We start from the raw sequence: 12,414 nt of genomic DNA, 5'->3' as shown, positions 1-12,414 counted from the left end.
AGAGATGAACGATCATTATATTTGAAGCTTCCCATGTGCCCCACCCTGATTCTATGGCAGAGCTATTATGAAGACTGCCATTTATCAATCTTCTAATTTTTTCTTCTATTTGATAAAGGAAACTAATCTCATTATTTCTTTACTTTTTATTTCTTTAATGTTTACAAAACTTAGTATCTTCTCATAAGTTTATTGGCTATTTGTTCTTTTTATATAAATTGTTATTTCCTTTGTCCATTTTCCTACTGGGTTGACTGGGGTGTTTTGCTTTCTGACTTATATAAACTCTTTGCGTATTAGGAATATTCACCCACTGCTATTATTCATGTTGCAAATAGCTAACTTTATTTTAGTATATGGTTGGAAATGGGAATCTAAGTTTATTTTCTTCCAAATGCACAGCCAGTCATCCCAACAGCATTTATTGAATACTTCAACCTTTCTCCATGAATGCAAAGACTTTACTATATATCAGATTTTCATATACAGTCATTGACCACATAAGGACACTTAAGTCAATGATGGATCATATAAACAACAATGGTTCCGTAAGGTTATAATACCATATTTTTACTGTAAATTTTCTGTTTCGATACGTTTAGATACACAAATACATATCATTGTGTTATAGTTGCCTATAGTATTCAGTACGGTAACATGCTATATTAGCTTATAACATAGAAACAACACACTATATATACCATCTAGCCTATGTGTGTAGTAGGCTATCCCATCTAGGTTGGTGTAAATACACTCTATGACGTTGGCACAATGACAAAATCACCTAATGATGTATTTCTCAGACCATATCTCCATTGTTAAGTAACACATCATGTATGACTGTATACAGATACGTGTACATATATGTACATGAATGTATATGGAAAGAGATAAATGTATATGTGTATGTATATATGTAGCTGTTTCAGACTTGCATTTTCTCCCACCACTATCTAACCTGGGAAACACAATGGATTAGGCCAAAAGAAACCACTCACCTGTCCTTCTTCATCAAAAGCCATGACCACCATAGCAGCTCCATACTTTTTAATCTTCCTGGCCTTCTCCAAGAAGTCGTCCTCTCCTTCCTTCAGACTAATGCTATTGACAATGCACTTCCCTTGGCAGCACTTTAACCCAGCTTCAATCACAGCAAAATTGGAGGAGTCGATGCACAAAGGTACCTGAGATCAGAAAGGCAAGAAAATCACACAGAGGCCACAGGTCACTATAAATTACTTTTCAAAGGCTCCAAAGTATTCCCTATTTCTTCTTTAGCAAAACAATAAACAAAAAATAGTAGTATGTCAGAGATAGAATTTTAATATACTTGTTCTTTAAGCCCAAAATACTTGGAGTAATTTCAGTCTTACAAGATACTCCATGCATGGGCCAGGGATTTACAACTCAAAGATCACAGCTGAACATCAGAATGAAATCAGTGTGATCAGTTCACTGGCTTCAGTGCAGTACACTTTCAAGCGCCTAAGCCCCGAGGCAAACACCTCAGCTAGGATTCAGACATCCCTGATCTGACTCAGGGATTAAGGTTTAGCCTTGTGTCCTTTGGGGACAGCCCTCTAGCCAAGTTATTCAAATTCAACCTTCCCTTTAGAAAATCAAGTTCTTTACTGAAAAAAAACAAAAAAAGAGTTTTAATATTAGAAAGGAAAAGCAGATCTAATTATCAACAAATGCATATAACTAAAATAAAGGACAAAACTGAAATGCACAGTTGAGAATAGGTTCCTTTTAATTCATACCTCTGTTCCAGGAAAGATGAAAGGAAGGGCTTGAAGAATTAGATTGATACAAAGAAATGAAATGAGGCAACAGATCTAGGCTGCATTATTTTTATATTTTTAAAGACAGGGTCTAACTATGTTGCCTTGGCTGGTCTTGAACTCCTGAGCTCCAGGGACCCTCCACACTCAGCCTCCTGAGTAGCTGCAACTACAGGTGCATACCACAGCTCCCAGCATAGGCCACATTATTCAATTAAGCCATTCAATAAATAATTAAGTGACTACCATATTAGGCCCATACAGGGAAAACAGTAAGAAAGCCAGGTCTCTGGCTCCACTGAGTTTATAAAGATAAATAATTAAACAAGTAATGACATAAAGTGTAGTAAATGCTAAAAGCATAAGAGAAGCACAGACTGCCATGGAAGCATATTTCAGGGGCACCCAGTCTATGAAGCATGGAGAATGGGGCAGGAAAATCCAGGGAAAGCTTCCCAGGGCAGGAAACATTTCAACTGAGGACTGAAGAATGAGTAGTCAGCAATTTCCTAAGCCACGCCACCAAACGAGCAAAAAAGAAAAGGCACGCTACCAGTTTTGCTTTTTCTTAGTATGCTAGTAATGAGAGGTTTGCTAAGGAAAGGGTCAAATGCAATGACAACACCAGGCCAGTGTATCGGCTTGTATTTGCTTGCTGATAGTTTGGTGTCCCAACCCTACTGGTGAAAAGGTGCTGGTAAAATGATTTTATGCTTTACCACCTGGGTAGAAATTTGGCCTCCAATAAGTTGTGGTAGTAGGGCAAAACCAAGAAAGATAAGAAATTACTGTAGCAATCAGAACACTAATAATGTATTGAGTTACATGGGGTCCTTCACAGTTGATAAAGCACTTGCATCTTTACAATTCACAAAGGGGGTTTGATGATCCCATTTTAGAGATGAGGAAAGTAGGGTCAATAGTCCATTGACTTGATTGGGCCTTACAAGGCGAGTCTACCCTCTTCCCAATACTAAGCTGATAAACAATTGGCTATACCTCTGATTCTAACTAACTTTGAACAAGTTGTCTTGCTTCTTTGTACCTTAAATTCTCAAAATATTTACTCCCAGAGGAATGACAAGACTTTTTAGTAAAGAGTTTTAAGACACAAATGAAAGATGGACAAATGTAATTCAGTACCTACCATAGACTCTAACTTAAATCTGCTGAATCTGCTGAAGCCTAATAAAAAAACCAAGAGCTCAACCTGAAAAATGCAACTCTTAGAGCACTAGGAAGTTTCTTTAAAAAAGAAGAACTTCAAAAATCACTTCCTGCCAGGCACAATGGCTCACAACTGCAATCCTACCACTTTGGGAAGCCAAGGCAGGAGGATTGATTGAGACTAGGAGTTCAAAATCAGCCTGTGAACACAGCAAGACCCGACCTCTCTACTAAAAATTTTTTTTAAATGATGCGTGCCTGTGGTCCCAGCTACTCAGGAAGCCGAAGTGGGAGAAGCCTGAGGTTGCAGTGAGCTATGATTGCACCACTGCACTCCAGCCTGGGCCACAGAGCAAAACCCTGCCTCAGGAGGGGAAAAAAAAAAATCACTTCTCATAACAAACTTAACGGCAGAAAAACAAGGTAAGATTTTTTTTTTAATTTTAGAACTCATTTAAAAATGTTTAAAAGACTGACACGAAAATCAATTTTCACCTTTTGAAGAACAAATGTAAAAGCTGACATAATCTCTTGATTTAATCTTGTTTTATATTTTTGTCTTAATCTGATAAGCCTAAAAGTTCTCTCCTTCCTGTTATAAGAAAGAATTCACTGAGTTCCCTTGCCTATGGTAGAAATAGAGCCAATGATTTTCCTTCACATACATGGAAAGTGGGTTGTTAGTCTGTCCAGACATCTGAGGAGACTCAATTCTCATGAACAATCCCAGAAGCCTTGGAAACAGCCAGGCTGAAGCCACAGCTGTCTCCAAGATCTGCTTTATCTGGAAAGGTTATCAGTATCTGAGAAAGCTGACAATCAGAAACTACCCTGTTTTCGATGTTGAGAAACAGAAAACCAGTTCTTGAGTTCACAGATTAATGGGACAACTGGCACGGTTAAATGAGTGTCAAAGTGAGACAAGTAAATCCCCCTGATAAACATAAACTTTGTATAACCTTTGCGATGTCTGGCTCGGAAGCAATTAAGTTGCAAAATCTGGTCATTGCACTTGGACCATCTAGCATGCCATCATCCATGTTGACATCCAACACCTGGGCTCCCATTTCCACCTGCACTTTGGCAACACACAAGGCTTCCTGAAGGAAGAATGAGAGAGGAAGCAGCATTAGGAGACAGTTACTAGGAGAAAAGGCTAATGAGGTAATTCCTTACCCTTCCCAGCAATCCTTCAAATTACACAGACTACCTCGCCAGACTCCCTGACTCCGGGCCTGCTGTCCACCCATCACTCATCACAAATTAACCTTTCTTACACATCTCTTCCATCACATCATCTCACTGCTTAGAATCCACCAAAGCTGTTTTCCTACCATAAAGATTCTAAATCCCTCAGCATGGCAGTCAAGGCCCTCTGAGCTGGCCCCATCTTCTTACCCAGCTGAACTTCCCATTCCACCCCGACTGGAGCCTTCACCCAGCCAAATCTGTTCCCACCTCTGTGCTGCAGATCACGTTGTTCCCTCTGCTTGGAACGCAATCCCTTTCCCTTCCACATTGTTTAAGACCCAGCTCAAGCCCCATCTCCTCCAAAAAAAGTCCTTAGAGAAACCATCCAAAATGATATAACTCTTCAGTATTTGCCAAAAACTATATAACTCTTCAGTATCTGCCGAAAGTATTCATTGCAGGCTGTTAATAGAAGTTACATGAAAAGAAATGTGACTTAAATAAATTTCAGCAGGTTTTTATAACACTGGAAGGCTTTTCAAATTATTTAATGCACTATTACACACTGCAACCTTCCCAAAACAGAATACAGCATTTCCCACTTATGATCGTCTAAGGAATATTTTGTAGGATAAGTGTTCCAAAAAGTCTTATATACTTCTCATTCTGAACAATGCTGGGCAAAATATACATGTTCCATAATACCTTCTAAGTAACAAGGCAGAGACTTTTTGTTTATTTAAGTTTTCACTGTACACTTCATAGTGTAATGAAATAAGCAAGGATAAAATCAATAGTAGATGCTGATATTGTCTTGATTTTTTTTTAGCCCAAGGAAAAAAAAAATAGAAACTTTTAGCACTCATTGTGATAGAACAGGCATGAAACCCTATGGCATATGCTACAAGGAAACACCACATGTAGTGAGCCAAGGCCACATAGAGAAAAAGGATCACACTTAAATTCAGTAAATCTGGACCGGGTGTGGTGGCTCATGCCTGTAATCCCAGCACTTTGGGAGGCCGAGACAGGCAGATCACTTGAGGTCAAGAGTTCAAGACCAGCCTGGCCAACATGGCAAAACTCCATCTCTACTAAAAATACAAAAATTAGCTGGGCCTGGTGGCATGAGCCCGTAGTCCCAGCTTCTCTGGAGGCTGGGGCAGGAGAATCACTTGAACCTGGGAGATGGAGGTTGCAGTGAGCCAAGATCATGCCATCGCACTCCAGCCTGGGTGACAGAGCAAGACTCTATCTCAAAATAAATAAATCAATTAATTAAGTCAGTAAATCAAAAAATGTTTTCTAGTATCAATACTAATTTAAATAATATAAAGAATAAAAAGAAGTGTAAATCACAATCCTGGTTCTTGAAGGGTTTATATCTAGATGGAGGCACATGTCACAGTCATGTAAAAAACTACTGGGCACTGCCATACAATGTGTGGGTCAAATGCCAAGATGACCTCAACATCCAGGAAAGGGAAAGGTCTCTACAAACCAAAATGGAGAAAGCTAACTGAGAGGGAGCATCTTCAGCTGACTAATGGGGAATGGATGGAGCAAACAGACAGGAGATAAGATAGTAAGCAACAGGGTCAAAAGACCTCAAAAACGGAAATGCCAATATCTGACCTATTTCTTAAGAATCACGGAATAACAGCTTCAAAGTCTAACCTTCCCAAACAAGCTCAGAGAGATGAAGTGGTTTGTTTAAAGATGTATGAGTTGGGCAAGAACATAGGACTGGAACTTCTTTCAGGTCAATGTTCTTTCCACTAAACCACAAAGGGATCATTAAGTCATAAGAGCTAGACTCTAATGAAGAGTCACCTGTCCCTTCCTGTTTCTACTGCCCCCTCCTACTGTTTCCACTAGGCAGAGATAGCAGAGTGGTTAAGGGCACATGCTTGGGAGACTTGGGTTCTATCATTTACTTGCTGTACAACAATAGGCAAGTCATTTAACCTCCCCAAGCCTCCATCTCTACACCTGTAAAATGGGGATAACCACAGTACCTATCTCCACCAGGCTGTGATGATTAAATGAGTAATGACATAAAGTGCTTAGCACAGTGACTGGCATATAGAAAGACCTTATTAAATGATAGATATTATTACTTCCACCTGTTTGCTTCTTCCTAAAATGCTCTCAGTGTCAAATCTATCAAATCCACCAAAGGGACACCATAGAATAGGCATAAGAAGCAAAACATAATAGAAACACTGCCAACTGAAGAACACTATATGGCTAGGAAGAGTCACTGGCACTTCAGAAGGAAGCAAACAAGAACAAAGGCACAGAGTCAGAAGCGAGCCTCCTGGAATGTTCAGATGACAGATCAGGATGGGAGGGCAGTTTAATACCTAAGTGAAGAGGACGGAATGACAGACTAAGGAATTTCAGTTTTATCCCATACACAAAAAAAAGTCACCCTGTGGAATTTCCAAACTGGGAAGGCCCATGATGGATGCATACAGGAGCACTGGACAGCAGCAAGAATGAGGGGAAGAGGACCAACAGAGGAAGTGGTGAAACTGGGCAACCAGGCCCTGCTAATGTGTCAGCTGAGGGACTGGGAAGGAAGACACGCCTCCAGGGATGCCATCAGGTAATAATGAACAGGTCCATGAAGGGGAATAAATGGTCCTTTCCTTGTTATGAAAACTAAATCAGCTCTGGTACTGGTTTCTGGAAGATCTCCTAAAGGTTGCAAAAAAGTGAGGAAAGTTGGATGATAAAGTTAATTATCATTAAGGCCCAGGCAAAATTCCTCCATTTTTAAATTCATATTTTCATAGGAAAATCTATCCAGGAGTCTTAGGTATGCTCTGTATGTATTAAATTTTGCTCATCCACAGAGTGACTGAGCTTAAAAACACCATGGCTAAAACTATCACATAAACTTTCCAAGGCAAGGGCCTATTTCTTTTGTTTGTTTATTTTAGTCTACAGCTAACAAGATCCATAATACCCTCAACAGTCAGCGTTTGATGCGATCATAAGGAACTGACAGGAATTTTCTTGTCTTTCCCTTTCCCTAGAAGGATTTGTGAGAAGACAAAATAAAAAGCCTCTCAAATTTTTTAACTTATTTCATGATTAATAGAAATAGCTAGAACCTGGATCCCTCCCATCTCATCCTACTTCATACACCAAATGCAGTACTTTTTAACAAATATTGACAACAGCAGCTTCAATTTTTCAAAGCCTCGTCCTCCCACCAGCCCAGTCTGCTGCAAACACACATTACCATCTTCTCACACTTTCTAGCAGCTCTGCTAATAACACTATCAAAGGCAGAGAGCTGTTTCATTTACATGCTGTCTAGCCAAAGACATGGGCAGATGCCTCAGGGGTCTTATTAAGATGCTCACTTCATAGTTTCCTGCCATGATGAGTTTAGCAAACTTCCTTGATCCTGCAACATTACAGCGCTCTCCAATGTTAACAAAGTTGGTGTACGGTCCAATCCTGAAGGGCTCTAGACCTTAAAAGGAGAAGCATTTTGAAAAATTTCTGCAAATGCATATGGATGACATGAGACAGACAGACACAAATGTATTCAATAAGAAAGAGAAGTTCCTGCACCATAGCCCATCTGAGCAGATAGGAGATCCAATGTGGAAACAGGGCCATAGTCGTCTCTAGGGAGATTCAAATGCAGTAAAGGCTATTTGTTACAACTACATTTACAACCATAACTCTCAAAAGAAGAAATATTTCAGAGTTTTATGTTGCAAATAACCTAAAGGACCAAATCATACCATCTCTGAGAAAAAAGGAAAAATAATCATCAACCCCTATTTAACCAAGAGGCTGAGGCAAAAACCATGGACAAAGTTAGAATTGAAAGAGGGGTGCTCCACAGCTGTCTGCTCAGATGTTAGCTTAAAGCTATATGGAGTAAGCTTTTTTAATCCCACCAATGGTGTGTTTACAACATTACTTCATTTCTTTGATTCAGAGGCCTAGAACCCATAATCAACAAGGCTGAATCAGGGATCCAGGTTGAGACCTGAGAGACAGGAGTCACTGTGGCAGGTCTATCACTAATGAGCTGACTCTAGGTAAGCCAGGTGGACTTCTGGTGCCTGTTTCCTTATCCACCAACATAATAACATCTCCCCTGCCACTGGCCAATTTAGGGGCAAATATCAGATAATACATGTGGATATATCACACTGAAGTAAAAACATACAGTGTAAAGTATCACTACAGAAAAGGCTCTGAACTGTTTTTGTTCTATTCATTACATTTAAAGTATTAGGAGAGGCAGTCTCATTAGATGGTTATAGGCAGGTTCTGGGTACAGACGGCCTTGGGTTCAAATCACTTACCTGAATGAACAACCTTGGGGCAACTTCCCATATGCCTCTGAGTTTACAAAGACAGTAAAGTGTCTGCTTTATACTGTTATTGTAAAAATGAAACTGAATAACATTGACAGGCACAGAATTAGCACCCATAATCACTGCTTTCATTGTTAATAAAAGAAAATGGCTTTTGAGACCTTTGCCAAAGCATGAGCTGAGGAAGAAACAGATATGAGGCAGAGAAAAATAATGACTATAAACTGGGTCATGACAAAAGCATTCCAGGCCCCTTGGTGCACTGATAGAGATTATCGCTTTCCATGCACGGTACTGGCTTATGATTTCTCTTCCATCTGGCAATGATCCTCATGGCCCCAGCCTTCCAAGCTAGTCGCAGGGTACGCCCGATCCTAGTCTGACCCTGAGGTTCCCAGGACAGGCAAGCAGGGAGCCAACATTTCAATGCTGACATTTCTGTGTGACTCCTCCGCCAAAAGCATCTCACACAAAGTACTTATGATCTATTATGAATGTGAAGTACTTGATACAAAGATCACACTTCTCTCAAGTTTGTGATTTATAAAAGAACAATTTTAAACAGCACATTTGATGTCACTCTTTTAAAATCTGATGGAAGGTGATTGTTTAAAGCAATTTAGCAATAGCGTACGACATTCAAATTGAAGAAAAAATTCTTTTATTCTTACATATAAATTATTTTTTTTAATCTTATGTAAATGGCTCTCTTGTTTCAATTTTGGCAAAGGCTGAATGTTTTCCACTCTTAGTGCTTGGCTGAAGTAATGCACTAAGTTTCAGGGATGAAATAAATAAATTTTCCTGCCACACCTCTCTCTGATAAAAGCCACTATTTCCAGAGAGGGAGTATCATAAACCATGAATCCCACTTTTCCTAATCTCATCCTCTACCTTCTGGAGTATTAAAAAAAAAAATAAAGGGCTAGCCTGAATATAGTTCGTATGTGTTAACCCAACTTCACACTCACTGATTGGGATTAATTCTGTGCTATGTTCTGAGTGAGAAAAGTGGACACTACTTTTGCTGTCATTCGTAATTTATTTTACTTTTCATAGGACAATATACAAAACAAAAATATTTCAATTCAGAGAGATGTTAAATTCTAAGCTATTAGGGAACATAATTCCTCATATGTGTTATTTGCAGGTTCTCTAAAAATCATACTTTTTCTGCTTAAAGTTACCATTTAATACATCATGAACATACTGAAGCAAAAATATGAAATTTAAAGTTATTTTTCTAACAATTGGCCTGATGACCTAGTTTACTAACGGTCCTTGTTTCAACACAAAATTCATGCTGAAAAAGGGAGGCTACCCACCTCAAAGGATTGTTGAGAACCAAAGAGAAAATACATACCACAAGTCTTTGTAAAGTCCTAAACATGTGGCAAATGTAAGATTACAACAAGAATATTTTAGAAACAATTTTCTAGGAAGATGCTGCTGCCATCACCAAACATTACACCTTGGCAGTTTGGAATTTTCAGTAACTAGTATCAACCTGAAAATTAAAATTGTTAGGCTGTGGCCAAGAGTATGTTTTCAAAACAGTGGACAATAAAGATAGGACCATCGAGCTCCCACCAAGGACTCTACCTGGGCAAATCACCTGGGCCTTCCTTCACTTTTACCCTAAAGTTGACGTCATCTTGCCCCAGCCCTGGAAAAACAAAGGGTTCTTCACTAGAATTCATTTAAGCGCCAAGAATATATGGATTCTTCTTCGACCTAATAAGCAAGCTGCCTAGCACAAACATCACTACCACTTAGAATACTCACACTCCACAAATGGTTTCTGCAATCAGGAATACCAGGTCTTTATGACTCACCAGACAGTAACATATGTCCTTCAAAAGCAGTGGCAGGTGGAACTCTAGGCTTACAATTTTTCACAGCTTCAGCAATTTCCCTGAGTTGAAAGAGGAAACATTGTATCCATTAATTCAGAATAAAATATATTTAATGAAACTAATTTCAAAACTAATTTTAACTATAAAATTAAGTCTATTTAACATAACTATACATATAATTATATACCTACTTCCAAGTGTGCAGCAACAATCATGCCTTTTAGTTTTCTCAACAAGGCAGAAAATTAATCTATAAACTGTACCTTTTATGTGCCTGCCCATCAGCTATGCACTGGCTGTGTTGTTTTTACTTTCTGAGACATGAACCTGGAGCTATATGACAGTTTGCACAAATACAAACAGCAAACTTCCTTCCATCTTCCCCACATCCACAGATGTCTTTTACTCTGTCAAATCTACACACACACAATCCTTGCTTCCTACTCAAAATTTGAACAGAAAAAGGATTTCACCTTTGGCAAGAAGGAGCAGGCACAAGCAGAGGGGCTAGGAGAGGAGAGAATTAGGTCCAGTGGATCTGTTTTTACTACAGCACACACACAGTAGGGAGGGTACATAGACATAAAGCACTAAAACTCCAAAATAATTACTCTTAAAGATTTGTTTTAGTCATTCGCACTCCCTTTAACATTATCAGTTTTAATAAATCATGTCTTTGATCAACCAGAAAAATGTGGCTACTCCACTAAATTTATCAGGACCAGTAAGAATTGCTCTACTCTACTGTCCCCAAATTAGAATGTGAATGTCTAAGTAAAAGAAGCAAACATATATACAGACAGATATAAATATAGATATACACAAACATACACACAGACATTTAAAACAACTCCTCTTTTTAAAGAGGAAACAAAACAAAAAGAAATAGTTGCTGATCCAAAGATAAGCAATATTTAACTACTGACAGCTTTCAGAAATTATTTACAAGATATTTTTAAAATTATCATTTAGGCCAGGCGCGGTGGCTCACACATGTAATCCCAGCACTTTGGGAGGCCAAGGTGAGCGGACCACGAGGTCAGGAGACCAAGACCATCCTGGCTAACGAGGTGAAACCCCGTCTCTACTAAAAATACAAAAAATTAGCCGGGCATGGTGGCAGGCACCTGTAGTCCCAGCTACTCAGGAGGCTGAGGCAGGAGAATGGCGTGAACCTGGGAGGTGGAGCTTGCAGTGAGCCGAGATCGCACCACTGCACTCCAGCCTGGGCAACAGAGCAAGACTCCATCCCAAAAAATATATATATATATTATTTACTAAGAGTCTATCACATCAGTCAACAAAAGCAGTGAACTACAAGGTAACTCAGTAGAGTGAACATATGACACACATGAAAACAGACTTGGAACAGTGAGATGACTGGCTGGAAATATGATCATCAGTCACTCCAGGGAAAAAACAAATATAAACAGTCCTAAACAATGTTCCATTTCACTGAATTCCAATCTTCCTATAAGCTATAAAACTCTAAGGAATTAAACACATGGTCATGCTTGTTTCGCTCCCTTCCTTCATATGCACACTTGAAAACATGAATTAAGCAACCACTGTGTACCAGGCAATGTGAAGACACTTCTCCTGACCTCAAGATACCTGTTGTCTTATCGTCTTTTCCCTCCATGAGAGAATCTAATGGAGGCCTGTATTTGCCCACAATAAATATGAGCTGTCCTCTTTGAGCATTCAAATATTACTCAGGTATTTAAGGATAGAATATCATAATATCTGGGATTTACTTTACATAATCCAGGGGGAAAAGTTGAGGGATAGATGAAATAAGAATGGAAAAACATTGAAAATTATGGCAACCATGTGACAGGCATATAGAGGTCCATTTTATTATTTCTCTAAAATGTTTCATAATATAAAGGTGTATGAGCTTGTTAGGAAGGGCTGCCATAACAAAGTGCCAAAGATTGGGTGGCTTAAATAACAGAAATGTATTTTCTCACAATCTGGAGGACAGAAGTCTGAGTTGAAGGCGTCAGGCAGGGTTAGTTTCTTTTAAGGCCTCTTTCATGTCTTGTAGATAGCTATTCTTCC

At 39.1% G+C, this 12,414-nt stretch overlaps 1 protein-coding gene across 13 annotated transcripts in view, besides 1 other annotated feature; it reads right to left on the bottom strand.

The window, feature by feature from the left end:
• Nucleotides 1-12,414, bottom strand: part of MTR (5-methyltetrahydrofolate-homocysteine methyltransferase) — a 108,701-nt gene that overhangs the window by 64,384 nt on the left and 31,903 nt on the right. For 12 of the 13 annotated variants that reach the window (NM_001291939.1, XM_047421186.1, XM_005273141.6 and 9 more), the window contains 4 exons: nucleotides 10,330-10,409; nucleotides 7,520-7,632; nucleotides 3,911-4,051; nucleotides 999-1,184 (listed from right to left, as the gene is read on the bottom strand). In NM_001291939.1, the coding sequence (NP_001278868.1) occupies nucleotides 999-1,184; nucleotides 3,911-4,051; nucleotides 7,520-7,632; nucleotides 10,330-10,409 (520 nt within the window). The remainder of the gene's footprint in view (nucleotides 1-998; nucleotides 1,185-3,910; nucleotides 4,052-7,519; nucleotides 7,633-10,329; nucleotides 10,410-12,414) is intronic. The other variant, NM_001291940.2, reaches the window with a different exon arrangement.
• Nucleotides 5,715-6,009: a silencer, noted in NCBI's record as "tiled region #3741; HepG2 Repressive DNase matched - State 14:Gen5'". NCBI's record gives its function as "represses a minimal TATA promoter and a strong SV40 promoter by Sharpr-MPRA in HepG2 cells {active_cell/tissue: HepG2}" and the evidence as "EXISTENCE:reporter gene assay evidence [ECO:0000049][PMID:27701403]".

This window comes from Homo sapiens, chromosome 1, assembly GCF_000001405.40.
Source record: "Homo sapiens chromosome 1, GRCh38.p14 Primary Assembly".
NCBI classification, from domain to species: Eukaryota; Metazoa; Chordata; class Mammalia; order Primates; family Hominidae; genus Homo; species Homo sapiens.
The sequence above is the reverse complement of the archived record's forward strand: the minus strand, read 5'-3'. Positions and strand labels throughout refer to the sequence as shown.